We start from the raw sequence: 18755 nt of genomic DNA on the forward strand, positions 1-18755 counted from the left end.
CAGATCCACAGGTTGAGGACTCAGTCCCACAACAGTGCCCTCTCTTCAGATGCTAGTCAAAAGTCCAGGCCTCTGGAACTTCTAACTGATTGGCTTCAACTTCAGGTTGTCATGACCCCTTCTTTAGGCTTGATTTGCTGGATCAGCTCACAAAACTCAGGGAGATATTTATGTTTACTGGTTTATAACAAAGGATATTTTAAAGGACACAATGAAACAGCCATATAAAGAGGTACATAGGGCGAGTTCTGGAGGGTCTGCCCTGCAAGGGCTTCTGTTCCCATGCAGTTGGGGTGCAGCACTCTCCTGGCACGTGGATGAGTTCTTATGCACCTTTCTGGAAGCCTCCATGAATTCAGCTGTTCAGAAGCTCTCAATATCCTGTCCTCCTGACCCTTTTACTAAGACTTCATTGGATAGGCATGATTGAAGCATGGACAGATGTGTAGAAATATGATTGGACAGAAAGATATAACCTAATACTAAGAGACTGAGTTGGGAAACCAGCAAGGCCTGTCTGTTCAGATTCTTCCTGTTCTCCCTGAGCAGCATTGTGTCCTCCAGGGTATGGGTCAGGACCTCTTCTGAAATGGGAGTTTAAGACCTACAATCAGACAAGGTAGGTCAGAGAATTTCTTTATGACCAGCTCTAAGACAGGTGAGGAGAGATGACTGTTTTTAGTTTCTATGGCTTGTCTTAGGGAGAAAAAGAAGAAGGTGAAAGGGGGGCAAAAGAAAGTTAGAAAGCGAGATTGTGTTTTCCGAGGTCTCCTTCTGAGGCCTAAAGCACTCCAACATTACAACAGAAGACTGTCTTCCACCTTTACTATTCCGAAGCTGTTCTGAAGCTGCTTCGGGAACCAAAGACAACAGGACAAATATTTTAATGAAAGATATTCGTATTGTTTTACTCACTTAGGAAATAACAAGATCTATAAGAATGTCAGGAATCATGGAGTGATATATGTATGTACATATACATATACACATACATATACATATACATATACATATACATATACATATACATATACATATACACATACACATACATATACATATACAATTAGCCTACATTAAAATTTCCCCATCTCCTGTCAGGAAGGGTATAGCTGGCTGCCTGAGTCATTCTCTTGATCACTGTAGTAATCCTGTGCACTCTCACCAGGGCAGGGAGCTGTCTTGACCCCCAGTGGAGGCTGACAATTTTTTTCCTGTGTACACTGGACCCCTTTCATAGAGGTGGGTGCTATGCAAGTGGAGCTGGTGACTGATGGCTGACCATTGATACAGGCTAGGAATACCAATGAGCAAGGTAAGGGAATGTGCATCTGCAAGGAGGGGTAAGCTGGAGTGGGAATGCCCAGGACCAACTAATTCAGTAACTATAGATAAAGGGCTATGAAAAATGATCCAGATGATGTTCCCAGCTCAGAATGCCTCCCATGGTTTCTGCGTCCTTGTCACAACAGAGAACCTGTGTCCTGTGACTATAAAAGTGGGTCTATATGTCAGCAGATAATGTCTGGAATAGAGGATTGGTTTAAAGTGCAGATATTTGGAGGGTAGATGGAAAACCCATGGAGATGGTACACACTTCCTTGTTAAACCTCTTCTAATCTAGTGTGTTCTAGGCAGCTGGCAACTTTGCAGTAACTAAAGTCAGTGAAGCAAAGGGCTGAAAGCAATATTAGGCACAAGTAGAGGATGCCAGGACACCACAATGCATCCCATATCTCACTAGTAGACCATGGTTGCCAAATTTTAGACATAGAATCCCTTATTTTAACTGAAGCCTTCCATAGAACTCCAATTTATGAACATTAGAAGGCAGAGCAGTCTGGCTGAAGTGAGCACTCTAGTCCCAGAGTCCTGTTCGCCCAGCATCCTTTCTCCCTCCTTTAGGCAGTGGGCCCTGATGCCTTACCTGCTACAGAACACTGGGGATGCCCCTGCACTGCTGGGAAAGCCCTGTGCTAGAAGACCTTCCTCAAAGGTGGGCTTCATCATGCCCCTGCACAGGCACATATCTATGTGGATGCCATTCTGCCCAATGCACTGAATCCCAATTTTGCTTCCTGGCTCTCCAGCCCTGCCAACAACTGATAGCCCCCAATCTTTTTATCATCAGCATACCTCACCATGTCACCTCTTGTTTACCCAGTTCTTCATTGTCCTACCCCTGACCTAAACACACGTAGGCACACACTGTTCTTCTACATATTTATCTATTCTCTATTCTCAAAATGGGACTGTTTACCCTCCCTCCCTCCAATCCACTATCCCTCTGAGAATTTTGCAAGGATCTTCCTTAGTGTTGGCCCCAATCTCTGTCTCTAACCTCATTCCTAGCCCTGCTTCAGCCTCTCCTCCGGGAAAGAGGCCCCTGCTACTGCCTATCATCACCAAACAGCACTATGGGCATGTTCACTGTGTTTCCTTCTTTTGAGAGTGTTCTTAGACCATGTACAAGCATGCTCAACAAGAGCAAGGATCTTGACTCATTTTACTTTTACCTGTTGCCTCTGCTTCCGCACATGGTGCACAATCCCCTTGACTGATGTTCAGATGGCTTCATCTCAACCAAAATTTATTAGAGATATGTCTCTTAATTTCCTTTAAGAAAACAAGGTAAAGTTCTTTCTATAAGAGTTTCTCATTTAAGGAATATTACAGAGTAATTGTCTGGAGTTCACAGCACTCTCTCTGTTCACATAATAAACGATGAGTGTTTTTTAAAAATGTCTTGTTATGTGCAGGCTCACCTTATTAGTATACCTCATGTGCAATGAGGAAAACAGTCATCTCTATTCAGCTCTACCCATTGGCACTTAGAATAGTCAGATACATAAAAACCAACGGTATACTTCCATTTCCCCCTTCTCATCCTATGGTCTATTCTAAGCATACATTTTGCATTTACATATGTTGTAAGCCACATCATACATTGCTATTTTTAACTTAATACCTTTAAGTACTGTTATTTTAAACAGTTACTTTGCTATGAAGACATTACATAATAAGGAAAATATGTTTTATACTTATGCATGCAGTTGCACCTTCTAGGGCTCTTGATTCCTTTGTGTAGATCCGGATTTTTCTCTGGCATCACTTTCCATCTGCCTGGAGGACTTACTTTAACATTTCTTCTAGTGCACATATGTTGGTGATAAATTCATTCTAATTTTGCATTCCCGAAACAAAAGTGTTTCATCTTTATTCTTGGAATATATTTTCATCAATATAGAAGTTTACGTCTTTAGTATTTGTTTCCTTCAATATTTAAATATAGTACTCTCCTCTGGCTTTCATTATCTTTCAAAAGAAATCTGCTGTCATCGTTATCTTTGTTCCTTTGTAGGTAATGTACATAATTTGTATCTCTGTTTACTTTTAAAAGTTTCTTGTGATTTCTTCTTAAAATCTCAGTGATTTTAAACAATATGATTATCAAATGCCTTGGTATACCTTTATACATGTTTATTGTTTTGCGATTTTTTTTTTAGTTTATTAGATTTTGGGGTTTATAGTTTTTATCAAACCTGAAAACTTTTCATTATTTCCTCAAGTATTTTTTTATCCCTCATTTTCCCCTCTGCTTTGTGGTTCTCATATACATTCATAAATTTTTAAATGTCTTTGCCTACAATCTCTATTATCAGTGTCATGTGTGTGTTTTATCCTCATTATTGATCCTAATTTCTGCTTTTTTACAAAATTGGTCATTGTGATTGGATGGAAGACATTTTGAATTTTACTTTGTTGAGTGCTAGATAGTTTTGTATTTCTATAAAATATTATTGGGATTTATTCTTCAGCATGGGTAAGTTTCTTGAAAATAGTGGCATTTTTTTCAAGTCTTGCTCTTTTTAGGTGAGATCAGAGCAGTTTTTAGTCTATAGCTTATAATGCCTCATAACCTGGACAAAACGCTCTTAAGGTTTTTAGCTGATGTCCCATGCTTTATAAAGTTTTTCACTCTGAATAGAGGAAACAAGAACTATCCTCAAACCCATGTAAGCTCTGGAGATTTCTCTCTGTACCGCTTTCTCCTCTTCATTATTTTGTTCTGCAAATTTTAGTCTCCCTGTCCTCTAAATTCTACCTCCTCAACTCAAAAAACATCAAGGCTTTCCTGCTGTGTACTCTGCCCTCCAGGCAGTAAGCTAAGGAAATTTTAGGGCTCACTTTATTTTCTATCTCTCATCGCTCAGAGATCAGTTATTTGTTTCAATATGTACAGTAAACTGAAAATAGTTGTGTTACAAGATAAACTTAGAAAAATTAAAATTGTAAAGAGTTTATTTCAGCAAACAGCAATTCATGAATTGGGCAGCATAAAACCACAAGTGGTCCAGGGCTTCACCAAAAGGGCATGAGGGCAGAACTTTTATGATGTGCATGCAGAAGCAAGGCAAAGAAAATATTTTTTTTTTGGTTTAGGTGGAGCTGTAGGGCCAGGAGCAGTGGCTCATGCCTGTAATCCTAGCACATTACAAGGTTGAAGTGGACAGATCACTTGAGGTCAGGAGTTCGAGACCAGCCTGGCCAACCTGGCAAAACCTCATCTCTACTAAAAATACAAAAATCACCTGGGTGTGGTGACACACACCTGTAATCCTGGCTATTCAGGTGGCTAAGGCATGAGAATCACATGAACCTGAGAGGCATAGGTTGCAGTGAGCCGTTATCACAACACTGCACAACAGCTTGGGCACCAGAGTGAGACCCTGTCTCAAAAAAAAAAAAAGTGGAGCAGTAGTCTTAAAGCCCCTAGTTAGTGGTTGTTTGGTGGTTTCTGATTGGCAAAGCCCCTGTTAGAGGTTAGCTGGCCAACTTTGGTAAAGTTTGTTTCATTTTTCCATTTGTATTGAGTAAAGTTTCAGTTTGTTTACATAGGAACTCAGGGTGCTAGAGCTGCTTCAGTCTTATGGCCTCCCAATTAATTATTTTAACAAGTGTGTGCAGTGATTCATGATTTTCTTGATACTTCTCTTCATGCATATTGTTCAGTTTTTCCACTATATTCTTTAACATGTCGATATGGTTTGGCTGTGTCCCCACCCAAATCTCATCTTGAATTCCCACGTGTTGTGGGAGGGACCCGGTGGGAGGTAATCAAATCATAAGGGCAGGTGTTTCCCCTGCTGTTCTCGTGATAGTGAATAAGTCTCATGAGATCTGATGGTTCTATGAAGGGGAGTTTCCCTGCACAAGCTCTCTCTCTTTTTGCTTGCTGCCATCCATGTAAGATGTGACTTGCTCCTCCTTGCCTTCCACCATGATTGTGAGGCTTCCCCAGTCATGTGGAACTGTAAGTCCATTAAACCTCTTTGTAATCTTCCCACTCTCGAGTATGTCTTTGTTGGCAGTGTGCAAACGGACTGATACACATATTAATCACAATTCTTTTCAAGTATCTTTGTAATGTAGTCAGCAGTTAGGTCATTTCTGAGTCCAGGTCTGTTTATTGCTTTTCTTCATGAAAATGAGTTACTAGTTATTAATTTTTTTGTATTTTATAATTTTTATTGAATGCCAGTCCTCATGTGTAGAAGAACAGTAGAGGCTGAGGTAAATAATATTAATGCATGTAAATTGGAATGTATCTTATTCAGCTAGGTTGTAAGTTTGTGTGTGAGGGAAGTGTGTGGTCAATTTCTTCAGTAGTTTAGCCGGGTTTAGGCTTTGTTTTTGCTATCACCTTCAAAGTCTCCCAATGGTGATCTGTCTCTACCTGTGTGCAGAGTGAGGTCTATCATGTGAGAGTGTTATATCAGAGTTCCTGCCCCCTCTTCAGCTTTTATGAGCTCAGTAGGCTGCACCCCAGAGAGGCTCTCTACTGATGCTCTTTCCTATTCTTCACCACAATTCTATGTGTTGTCAGTTTGCTTTCTTTTTTAAAAAAATACATGTACCATAAATTTACCACTTCAAAAGTATGATTCCATCATTTCACTATTTTTAACTATTAATAAGTTGTGCCATATCAAATTCCAGAACATTTTCATTATCCCCAAGAGAAAACACCTCCTCATTAACAATCACTTTCCGTTCCCTCTTCTTCTAGCTCTTGGCAGGAATTAATCTACTTTTTGTCCATAGATTTTCCTATTCTGGGAACTTCATAATAATGTAATCATACAACATGTAGCTTTTTGTGTGTGTTTGTCTTCTTTCACTTACCATATTATTTTTAAACTTCATTCATGTGATAGCGTGTATCAGCACTTCATTTTTTTAAGGATGAATGACATTTCATTGTATGTATATACATTTTGCTTATACATTCATCTCTTGATGGACATTTAGGTTATTTCCACTTTTTGGTATTATGAATAATGCGTCTATGTGCATTCATGTACAAGTGTTTGATTATTTGCTTTCAATTATTTTGGGTGTAGGACTAGGAATGGAATGGCTGGGTCATAAGGTAACACTCCATTCTTAACTTTCTGAGGATCTTCCAAAATGTTTTTCATAGCAGGTGCATCATTTTACATTTCTAGCAGTAGTGTATGAGGATTCTAATTTCTGTATATCCTTAGAGATACTATTATTGTCTGTCATTTTTATTTTTGCCATTCTAGTGTATGTAAAGTGGTATCTCATTGTGATTTTGATTTGTGTTTCCCTGATGACTAACGATGTTGAGCACCTTTTCATGTGCTTATTGGGCATTTATGTATCTTCTTTGGAGAACTGTCTATTCAAATCCTTTGCTCATTTTAAATGGGGTTATGTGTTTTAATTGTTAAAATGTGACTGTTCTCTTAATATTCTGGATATTAGATCCTTATCCCTATGATTAACATATGTTTTCTCCCATTCTGTGAGTTGCCTTTTCAATTTTTTGATGATGTCCTTTGAAGTATTTGAGACAACTTGCTCAATTCCTCTAGTGAATTCACTTTCTCACTCTGCAAAAAATCTATTTCGAATCTTCTCAAATCTCCAAAACACTCCAGCCTTCAACAGTATCTGATGATTTTCCTTTTTCTTTCTTTCTTTTCTCTTTATTTCTTTTCTTTCTCTTTCTTTCTTTTCTTTTCTTTTTTTTAATTTTATTTCGACAAAGTGTCACCCTTGTTGCCCAGGCTGGAGTGCAATGGCATGATCTTGGCTCATTGGAACCTCTGCCTCCCAGGTTCAAGTGATTCTCCTGCCTCAGCCTCCCGAGTACGTGGGATTACAGGCACCTGTCATCACACCCGGCTACCTTTTGTATTTTAGTAGGGATGGGGTTTCACCATGTTAACCAGGCTGGTCTCGAACTCCTGACCTCAGGTGATCTGCCCACCTTGGATTTCCAAATGTTGAGATTACAGGCATGAGCCACCACACCCGGCCAATTTTCCACCTTTCTGATAAGGCAAACGAAAGCTATTTGATGGCAGTTCACTCTTTATCTCGCCTCTGATGCCACCAATATGCCTGCATTCTCTGTCATTTCTTTTCTGACAAAAGACAAAGCATTCCAGCACTATCTAAGAGCCTAGAATGGACTCTTTCTCAAGCATTTTTCTCTTGAAATTGTCTCATTTTTTCTCTTTTATTAGCTAATCCTTGCTCTTTACTGGATCGTTGACACCTAAAAATAATGTGACAATTTCAACTTTCAAAAAATGTCTTCCTTGAGCTCATACTGTGGCTAGGTTGCATTTTTCCCTCCAATTTATAGCATAGTTTTCCCCCACAAAAACACAAATTGATAAACTAGATTTCCTCAAACTAAAAACAAAAAAAAAACAAAAAACCTTTTTGTGCTCTAAAAGGCACCTCTAGACAGAGAGACAACCCACAGATTGAGAGAAAACAGTTGCAAGCTATGTATCAGATAAGAAAGTTGTATCCAGAATACATAAGGAACATTTACAATACCACCATATAATGACAAACCATTAAAAATGAGCAAAGAATATGAACAGAAATTTCCCTAAAGAATATCTACAAATGGCCAAAAGAACATGAAAGGATGCTCAACTTCGTTAGTCACTAGGGAAATGCGAGTCAAAACCTAAATGAGATACTATTTCATACTAACTACAATGGCTGCAATAAAAATGACAATAATGTGTTGACAAGGTGGTAGAGAAATTAGAGCCCTCATACATTGTTGCTGGGAATGTTAAATTGCAAAAAAGTGCATCCACTTCAGAAAGTGGAAAGCAGCTCTTGCTATGTGGTATGATTTTGTTGGCGGAAGATTCTGAAAAGGATCCAGTCAGGACATCCTGCCTGATTCCACCTGACTAATGAACAGAGGACCCTGAATTCAGTGAGTCACAGACTCCCTGAGGCAGAGGCACAAAGAAGAAACACCACGTCTGGATTAGCACATGGGGACATGCACAGGAGTCTCCTGTGAATCTTGTTGATATGTAGGTTCTCACTGCTTAGGGCTGAGTGGGGCCTGAGATGCTGGTTCCTAACTAGCCCCCAGGTGATGCGGTTGGAGGAGCATTGCCTGGAGTCCAGAAGCACTGTTGTAGGACAGAGTGGAAGAAATAAGTCAGACTGGTGACAACTGACCCTCAGCATAAGCAAATTTATTTCCTGGAAGAGGAGAGAAAGGTGAAGTAGAGAAAAAGCAGTCAGGGCAGGGCTTGGGCTTCCTCCAGGCAGATTCTCGGTGTGCCCTGGTGGTCATTCAGAAGGTGCTGGGTTTGATCAAGTGGCCCTGACCTGAAGCCCTGCCACATTAGGCTTCTTAAAGATTCACTTAAGAGATGGTGACAAGCAGCTTTGAATTGGTCTTTGTGTGTAGGAAAGTATCTGTGTGTAAAGTCACGCATGGGATGATGGTTGGTTGGGGGTGCTGGTCTGGCTTATGCCCTCCACTGTGATGTACTTTCCTGAGATGGCAGGAGAAGAATGGGATGGCCTCCTAGGGATGACCTGGGGCAAATCCGAGGGAGGAGGGGCACTGCTTCAGGTATAGGTCTTCTTCCAGACTCAGGATCCAAGCTGGTGGTGCCCTGCTGACTCCTGGTAGTTCTCAGTCCTAACCCACCTCACTTCCTGTCTGACCAATGCCAAGGCCATCTGACTGATCCCCGCAGAAGGAGTCATAGGGTCTGGGTTGCTGGCTCCTCCTGCCACTGCTGGCCCTGACACACGTGCATTTGGAAGCTTTTACATGGCTTCTGGCCCTAGCATTTCCTTCAAGTACTGTCCCTCTGCTCGGGCAGGTCGAAGCTGACACCACTCCTACTGCTGTACCTTCCATCAAACACTGCAGCAAGCACTCCCTGGAGACAGCATGGAAGAAATAGTATTTTCCGTGGCCACTGGCATCTTCACTGCTCTGTCCATATTCACTATCTTGTTGTCCTCTACGTGTTTCTCTGGTTAATCTTAAGGAGTGTGGACCAAGACTGCAGATAGAACAGAGCCTCCACTTCAATGGGCCCCACTCCTGGGACCTCACTGTGTGTCCCCACACCTGAAATCCTAAGACCCTTTCCTGACCCCACATCCTCTGCAGACCCCAAGCACCACACCCCTTGACCCTGTGCCCTCTCCCTATTCAACACCCTCCTGAGGACCCCACATCTCTTCCCTGACCTCACCGCCTCTCTCCTCAAATTTCACAACCATCCCTTCATTACATTCTTCTCACTTGGCACCCTCCATCATTACCGATTCACCCTCTCAGGGCTCCTCACAGAAAGGAGTTGTCATGGTCTTGAGTCTCCTTCCAGTCTTTTCCTGCTACGTGCAAGGCCCCACAGTTTTTGCTCTTCCCAGGCCAGCGGCAGCCCCATTGTAATTCGCCTGGGCCTATGAGTCTGAGAAGCTAGCAACTGAAAGGCAGTGGAGAGGTCTTTTCGAGGCTGATGGACGTCCTGCAGTCCTGTACCCATATGGAAGGTCCATGATGCCCCTGAGTCTTTTTGACATCAGATGCTTTCGCCCCTACCAGGGGTAGGGGGTTCCTAGGGGTGGGAAGGCTAGGAATTCAGGACTCCTGGCTGGCTTGAGGCCTAAGGAAAAAAAAATGGTTTTGTGTGCCAGGCCCAGGGCCTTGCTGCTTTGTGCAATCTCAAAACTTGGTGCCCTGCATCCCAGCCATGGCTAAAAGGGGCCAATGTACTGCTCAGGCCATTGCTTCAGAAAGTGCAAGCCCCAAGCCTTGGTGGTTTCCAGGTGGTATTGGGCCTGCAGGTGCATGCTGTTCTCATGATACTGACTGAGTTTTCACAAGATCTGATTGTTTTATAAGGGGCTCTTCCCCCTTCGCACTGCACTTTTCTTTCCTGCCACCTTGTGAAGACGGACATGTTTGCTTCCCCTTCTGCCATGATTGTAAGTTTTCTGAGTCCTCCTCAGCCACGTGGAACTATTAATCAATTAAACCTCTTTCCTGTCTAAATTACTCAGTCTTGGGTATTTTTTTATAACAGTGTGAAAAGGGACAAATACAATCAATGTCATCTGCAGATAGAGATGGTTTCATTTTTTTCTTTTCCTGTCAGTATGTCTTTAATATCTTGTTCTTGCTTTATTACATTGGTCTGGACTTTCACAGAGATGTTGGTAGGATTGGTCAGAATTGACATCCCAGCTTTTTATCCAGTCCATCATTAAGTATGATGTTAACTGTAGAGGTTTTCTTTTTTTTTTCATGTCCTATATCAAGTTGAATTATTTCTTTTTTAATTCGACTTGTCTAGACTTTTTATCATAAAAATTTTTTAATCATTTGAATATGATCAAATGCATTTTCCTTTAGTCTGTTGATACAGTTAATTACAGAGATTGATTTGTGAATATTGAATTTCTGAGACAAATCTCAATAATGATACATTCTCCTTTTAATATTGTTGGTAAAGGCAGTCATGTCCTGTCTGTTGACCAACCTGCTCAGCTGCATAAGATGGGCCTTGTACCTGGAACATTTTCTTCTTGGGAGATAAAGAGCCCTCACAGCCTGTGCTGGGCTTATTGTCTTGTGAGACAATATATTTCTTTGTTCCAGGCTTGATGCGTACCTCTTTGTTCTGATTAAATGCATGAGTTGATGGCCCTCAGGCTGCCACCCAGCTTTCTGGGTATTAAACTCAGCATGCATTAGCTATTTTTCCTGTTGCTCTCTTTCCCTTGCACCACCGACAGGCCCCATTGTATGTTGTTCCCCTCCCTGTGTTTTCACTGTTTAGCTCCCACGTATGAGTGACAACATGTGATGTTTGGTTTCCTGTTCCTGCATTAGTTTGCTGAGGATAATGGCTTGCAGCTCTATTCATGTCACTGCAAAGGACATTATCTCATTCCTTTTTATGGCTGAATAGTATTCCATGGTGTACATGTACCACATTTTATTTATATAGTCTATCATTGATGGGCATTTGGGTTGATTCCATGTCTTTGCTATTGTGAATAGGCACTCATTTTTCTATTATTCCATTTTATCTTCATTGTTGCCTAATTATGTATATCTCTTTTAGTGAATTTTTTGTGGTTGCCCTAAAGTTTACAATGTAATCTCTACTTAATCACAATCTACCTTCAAATAATATATTATTTCGCATGTCATGTAAGTACTTAACAATTGCACATACCCAATTTCTCCCTCTTGTCTTTTGGGCAGATCTCACAAAGTCTTTGCTAGTCCAATTTGGAGCTCTGAAGCAAAGATTGCTTGGAGGAGGGGTCCCTTTTATGGGACTTTCTAAGCCATTTTACCCTCGACTTGCTCAGTCATTGGCTGGTGGCCTTTCTGAGAAGTGTATGTTCTTGACTAAAACTGCATTGCCTAATCATTGATTGGTGGCCACCCCTAGAAGATTGTGACTTCAGCTGTAAAGTTAGTCCCTGAAAGAGATATTAGGCTGTCAGATAAGCACACTTATTGAAGCTGTGCAACAAAGTATTTATTGAGGGGTATTTTATAGTCTCTGATTGGGTTACCCATGCTGACTTGTAAATCTATGGTGTGGCACTGGTAAGCACGTATGTACAGGATTGTGTTCCCAACTTGAGAAGGCAGCCCATCTAAACTCTTCCATTTGGCAGAGGTAGCCATTGTTCATCTTTTGGAGTAGTTTTTTTATTATTATTTTTGATGTAGCCTGTTCAGGCACAGCTGTAGTCCTGTATTAGTCCATTCTCACACCACTATAAAGAATATTACCTGAAACTGAGTAATTATAAAGGAAAAAAGTTTAATTGACTCACAGTTTTGCAGGCCTAACAGGAAGCATGGCTAGAAGGCCTCAGGAAACTTTCAATCATGGTGGAAGACTAAGGGGAAGCAGGCACCTTCTTCATAAGGCTGCAGGATGGAGGGTTTGCGCAAATGAGGAAGTGCTACACTTTAAAACCATCTGCTCTCATGAGAACTCACTCACTATCTTGAGAACAGCATGGGGGGACCCTCCCCCATGATCTGATGACATCCCACATGGTCCTTCCCCTGACATGTAGGGATTACAATTCGAAATGAGATTTGGGTGGGGATGCAGATCCAAACCATATCAAGTCCTTGGAATTTAATGTTTATTATAGTTTAGATATGTTTAGTTATAAGCTCAGAAGAGATTCTTATTTTCGTGCTTTATAAATCAGTGTTTTCTGGTTAATTGCACAGTACATCTGGTCTCTGGAAGTGGCAAAATAGGGTCATCAACATGTCTCTCTAAAACTGTGCAATCAACAATGCAAGCTAGTGCACTTGAACTATGCGATGAGCTGGTGTTCATTTGTACATGACCATGTGTGTATATATATCTTCATTATCATTTATGTCAAAATATTTTCTAATTTCCTTTGTGATTTTTTCTTTTGCCCGTTGGTTGTTTAGGAGTATGTAGTTTAATTTTCACAAATTTGTGAATATCTGAAATTTACCAACGTTATTAATTTCTTTTTTTTTTTGGAAATTTAAATATGTTAACTTTTTTTTTATTGTACTTTAAGTTTTAGGGTACATGTGCACATTGTGCAGGTTAGTTACATATGTATACATGTGCCATGCTGGTGTGCTTCACCCATTAACTAGTCATTTAGCATTAGATATATCTCCTAAAGCTATCCCTCCCCCCTCCCCTGACCCCACAACAGTCCCCAGAGTGTGATGTTCCCCTTCCTGTGTCCATGTGTTCTCATTGTTCAATTCCCACCTATGAGTGAGAATATGCGGTGTTTGGTTTTTTGTTCTTGCGATAGTTTACTGAGAATGATGATTTCCAATTTCATCCATGTCCCTACAAAGGACATGAACTCATCATTTTTTATGGCTGCATAGTATTCCATGGTGTATATGTGCCACATTTTCTTAATCCAGTCTATCATTGTTGGACATTTGGGTTGGTTCCAAGTCTTTGCTATTGTGAATAGTGCTGCAATAAACATACGTGTGCATGTGTCTTTATAGCAGCATGATTTATAGTCTTTTGGGTATATACCCAGTAATGGGATGGCTGGGTCAGATGGTATTTCTAGTTCCAGATCCCTGAGGAATCGCCACACTGACTTCCACAAGGGTTGAACTAGGTTACAGTCCCACCAACAGTGTAAAAGTGTTCCTATTTCTCCACATCCTCTCCAGCACCTGTTGTTTCCTGACTTTTTAATGATTGCCATTCTAACTGGTGTGAGATGGTATCTCATTGTGGTTTTGATTTGCATTTCTCTGATGGCCAGTGATGGTGAGCATTTTTTCATGTGTTTTTTGGCTGCATAAATGTCTTCTTTTGAGAAGTGTCTGTTCATATCCTTCACCCACTTTTTGATGGGGTTGTTTGTTTTTTTCTTGTAAATTTGTTTAAGTTCATTGTAGATTCTGGATATTAGCCCTTTGTCAGATGAGTAGGTTGTGAAAATTTTCTCCCATTTTGTAGGTTGCCTGTTCACTCTGATGGTAGTTTCTTTTGCTGTGCAGAAGCTCTTTAGTTTAATTAGATCCCATTTGTCAATTTCGTCTTTTGTTGCCATTGCTTTTGGTGTTTTAGACATGAAGTCCTTGTCCATGCCTCTGTCCTGAATGGTAATGCCTAGGTTTTCTTCTAGGGTTTTTATGGTTTTAGGTCTAACGTTTAAGTCTTTAATCCATCTTGAATTAATTTTTGTATAAGGTGTAAGGAAGGGATCCAGTTTCAGCCTTCTACATATGGCTAGCCAGTTTTCCCAGCACCATTTATTAAATAGGGAATCCTTTCCCCATTGCTTGTTTTTCTCAGGTTTGTCCAAGATGAGATAGTTGTAGATATGCGGCGTTATTTCTGAGGGCTCTGTTCTGTTCCATTGATCTATATCTCTGTTTTGGTACCAGTACCATGCTGTTTTGGTTACCGTAGCCTTGTAGTATAGTTTGAAGTCAGGTAGCATGATGTTAATTTCATATTTTATTCCATTGCAGACAGATAAAGTACTTTGTACAATCTCAATCCCCTTATATTTATTGAGACTTGTTTTGTGGGCTTACATATTGTTTATCCTGAAAGGTGATCCATGTATACTTGAGAAAAATATTCCGCTGTTTTGGGTGCTGTGTTCTATAATTGGGGGTTAGGTCTGGCTGGTTTATATTGTTGTTGAAATATTCTATAGTCATGGCGACCTTCTATCTTGTTATACCTTTATTGAAATTAGGGTTTAAAGTCTCCAATAATTATTGTTGAATTATTTATTTCTCTCTTTAATTCTTTCTTTCTATATTTTGGGGTCTGTGTTATTAGGTACATATATGTTTATAATGTTTCATATTTTTGATAGACTAAAACTTTTATCATCATTATAAAATATCTTTCTTTTTCTCTAGTAACAACTTTTATTTTAAAGTCTATTTTGTCTGGTATTAGCATAGCCATTCCAGCTCTCTTTTGGTTACTGCTTGTATGATATATCTTTTCCCATATACTTACTTTCATCCTATTTATGTATTTAGATGTATACATCTATATAAATCTCTTATAAATAATCAGTATATAGTTAGAACAGGATTCCAAAATATATTTCCCCAATCTCTGACTTTAATCGAGGTGATTAATCCATTTACATTTAAGATTACTGGTAAGGTAATATTTCTGTGTTGTAGTCAGTGATTTACTCTTTATATTACATATGTATTTTTCCTTCTTTATATTTTCAATGCTACCTTCCTTTGTGAAAAATATATGTTTTTCTAGTCTACCATTTTAATCCCATTGCCATTTAAGGTATTATTTTCTTAGCAGTTGTCCTGGGGACTACAATTGATAGTTTAACTTGTACCAATCTATTTAAATTAATACCAACTTAATTAAAATAGTATACAATGGGTTTGTTCACATACAGTTCCATTCTCTCCCTACTTCTTTGTGTTGCTATTGTCATACAGTAACTGTTAAGAGGCTGGAATGTCCAGGGTTGAGGATTCCCACAGGATAAGAGCAGGCCTAGACTAGAGCAATGACAAGCAGATGGAGAAAAGGGGCCTCAGCTTCCTCCTCTAAAATGACCTCAGTTGTGCATATCAGGGCTGGTCACAAATATTTGGTTCTCTTCTTTCTGGGCACATAAGATTGCCTTTATCTGCTCCTTTAAATTTAAGATAGGGAGAAAAGAAAATTGACAACATGTTAGGCACAAAAAGAGATTTATACTTGGAAAGTAGGTAACTCTAGGCTTTTTCAAAATACAAAAACATTTGTGCAAGGAACAATGTACTTTTTAAAATAACCATTGAGCCATCCCAATGAAGTGCAAGCAGTGGTGTGGAGAATTTGGAATGTGGCTCTAGTACTCCTCAGAGATGTGAACCTGGGCAGCCAGGGTCAGGCACAGTGTGGGACCTTTTCTTTGGCATTCAGTGTGTTCACCTGGAGGACTCTCCCTTGCAGAGCTCTGGGGTGTGAGATTGGATGCAGGGAGGGTGAGCCTGGAGGAATTCTTCAAAGCAACTCTCACAGACCTATGTGTTGATCTAGGTCCTGGTTCAATAGCCCTGGTTATTGCCCCAAGCAGGACTAGAACAAGTTATATCATGTCTATACAGCTCAAAGATGTGGGATTAAACAATCCAAGGTAACAGATTTTCAAGGGGAAAAGAAAATAAATGCGTTAATTAATGCACATGTGGATCATAAGACATATACAGGTTCAGGAATATTAAAATATGGGGGAAGGTACATCATGGGCACACAATAATAATAGCCACTTATTAATGACCACATTATTAGGGCCAAACATTTTACATACAAGTGGCATGTTATATGATGCTCACATAAACACTCTGAAGTTGTACTATTATTACTCCCATTTTACAGATGAAAAAACTGAAGTACATAAAGGATACTTGATGTATGGGCTTATAAGCGACAGAGCTAATATTCAAACTTACTTTCTTATGGGTTCAAAGCCCTGTCTCTGTACTGGGTTGAGCTGCAACCCACAAACAAGGGAGTGCCAGCCATCTTCCACTGCTAACTATTGCCCTATCAATATGCCCCTAGGACTGATCTTAAAGGAGCCAAGTGGTGGTGCCAGTGAAAGCTTGAAACAGAATCCTACCCAATGGCCTCTCTCCTGTTCTATCCATATGACATGGAGACAAATGCTGTGGAGGAGAGGTGGGTCCTAGGATAAAGGGTGTGAAGATGGACAAGTTTCTGCATTGAGAGCTCCAGATGGGCTGCAGTTCAGAACCGCGACCCCTGCAATGAGCTTGTGCTCCATTAACAGAACACTGGGGATCCAGAGGGGAATGCAGATGAGGTGAAGACATTAAAGAGTTAAGTGGGATTGAGAAGGGACTTCGCTCACTATTTTCCTCCCCCTTTTTTTCACTCCTGCTTCATTCAGAAAATATTTGGAGCAGGCTACAAAGAAGTACGTAACACAGCAAGATAAAATGCATTACACACAAATAAAACAAAGGGATCCCAGAGATAAATCAAGTGAGAAGATGGTGGAGCCTGAAGCAGGCTTAGAACCTCAAATATATGCCAGGAAGTCCAGCCTCCAGGAAGACTTCCATTGACCTTTAGGGTACCCTGGCAGCTCATGGCCCAAGTGCAGTTGCCCAGGCTAAGCTACAGCAACCATTTGACATGGATATCAGAAGTCCAGTCTTCCAGAGGCTGCTATTATGTCCAGACATGTGCCCTGCCTTGCTGTGTACCTGCCTGGCCTGGTCTCTTTTATTCTCAGCAGATTAGATGACTCAACAATTTCCTTCGAGCCAACTCCACTGAGCAGGCTGGCAACCAGATACATGGTGGGGCAAGTAGGACGGAGCGCAGTGCTCATGAGACATGTGGACTCTCACTGCATCCACGTAGGTGTCAGTGTCTGCAGGGCTTGTTTGCACTGACCCTCAGTCTGAGTGATGGGCAACCTTGGCTTTGTCCTCTGATGCTATTTTGTGGATTTCCCTTGGGACATAACAAGCATCCTGCCACTAGCCCCCGCTATCCCTATGTTCAGCTCCAGCCCTGGGATCAAGGATAAAAGGAGACCCAGGACTCCTTATTTGCTCAGGAAAAGCTGACAGGGTAATTGGCACAGGGAAGAGCTGGTGATATGGTTTGGCTCTGTGTCCCCACACAAATCTCCTTCTGAATTGTACTCCCATAATTCCCATAATTCCCATGTGTCGTGAGAGGGACACGGTTTGAGATAATTGAATCATGGGGGCAGTTACCCTATGCTGTTCTCGTGATAGTGAATGAGTCTCACGAGATCTCATGGTTTTTACAAAATGAGAGTTGCCCTGCACAAGCTCTCTTTGCCTGCCGTCATCCACGTAAGATGTGACTTGCTCCTTTTTGCCTTCCGCCATCATTGTGAGGCCTCCCTAGCCATGTGGAACTGTAAGTCCAATTAAACCCCTTTCTTTTTTAAATTGCCAGGTCTTGGGTAAGTCCTTATCAGCAGCATGAAAATGGACTAATACAGCTTTCAAGAAGCATGCAGGAGGTCAGCCCCTTGCCAAGGAAGCTGAAGTTAAGTGCAGGGTTTCAGTCATAGCTGGTGGAACAGAGAGGTCTCTTAGGAGAGCAGGACCATGGCTGACAGGCCTCACATCAGTCCCTCAGTGGGCAGGCTCAGGACATCTAGAGACAGTCAGGACCTTCCCATGTATGGGCACAGGAAGGCCCCCATCTGCTCTGCCCTACCCTGGTCAGGATTGCCTCCATCCTCTGTGGTGTGTAACCACACAGGAGGCTGCTGTGGGATATGCTAGACCCTGGAAATGCCTCCAGAAGAGGCTGTTGGTGGGGTGCTGTGAGACCCCCTAGCTGCTCTAGCCCTGCAACACTTAGGCATCCTAGAGTTAGCATTCTCCCCATCCGTCGTTTCTCTCCAACAAAGGGCACTAAGTGTCACAGTTGTCATCCTGGAGTGCGACAAAGCAGTCTGCTCTGGAGTTCTTTCTGGAAGCACTCGGTTCATGACATCTTGCAGGGCTCCAGCTCACCTCCAGTCCCATTTTACTTCTACATTCCTCCCGTGGCCAGCCTAAGGCACTATAGATGGATCCAGCAGGTGATCCTTCTCACACTTTTCCAAACTCATCACAGCCTATGCCCTTTGGTAACAAGAAAGCCTTACCCTTCCTGGCTCCTTTCCAAATCCTAATTTGACCTGAGGATATTCTGGGACCTGGAGGAGTATACTAATGACCACAGACCTCACAGTGGGTTTCACCCATTAGTCTTCTTAAACTTTTTGGGGGTACACCGAGATCCTAGATGGCTCTTTGGGTAGCTGACAAAACAGTTCGGCATCACCTCTCTGGATCAAGTTTAGAAAGCAAAAACTCATAGGCG

At 41.2% G+C, this 18755-nt stretch overlaps 1 protein-coding gene across 2 annotated transcripts in view; it reads left to right on the forward strand.

The window, feature by feature from the left end:
• MAGEA11 (MAGE family member A11) overlaps positions 524-18755 on the forward strand; it is a 29076-nt gene continuing 10844 nt past the window's right edge. The window contains exons 1-3 of one of the 2 annotated variants that reach the window (XM_047442106.1): positions 524-619; positions 1169-1315; positions 16437-16553. Coding sequence is in view for 1 of the 2 variants with exons in the window: in NM_001011544.2 (NP_001011544.1) it covers positions 1307-1315 (9 nt within the window). In the remaining variant the exon portion in view is untranslated. The remainder of the gene's footprint in view (positions 620-1168; positions 1316-16436; positions 16554-18755) is intronic. The other variant, NM_001011544.2, reaches the window with a different exon arrangement.

The sequence above is a fragment of the Homo sapiens genome, chromosome X (genome assembly GCF_000001405.40).
Source record: "Homo sapiens chromosome X, GRCh38.p14 Primary Assembly".
Lineage (NCBI taxonomy): Eukaryota > Metazoa > Chordata > Mammalia > Primates > Hominidae > Homo > Homo sapiens.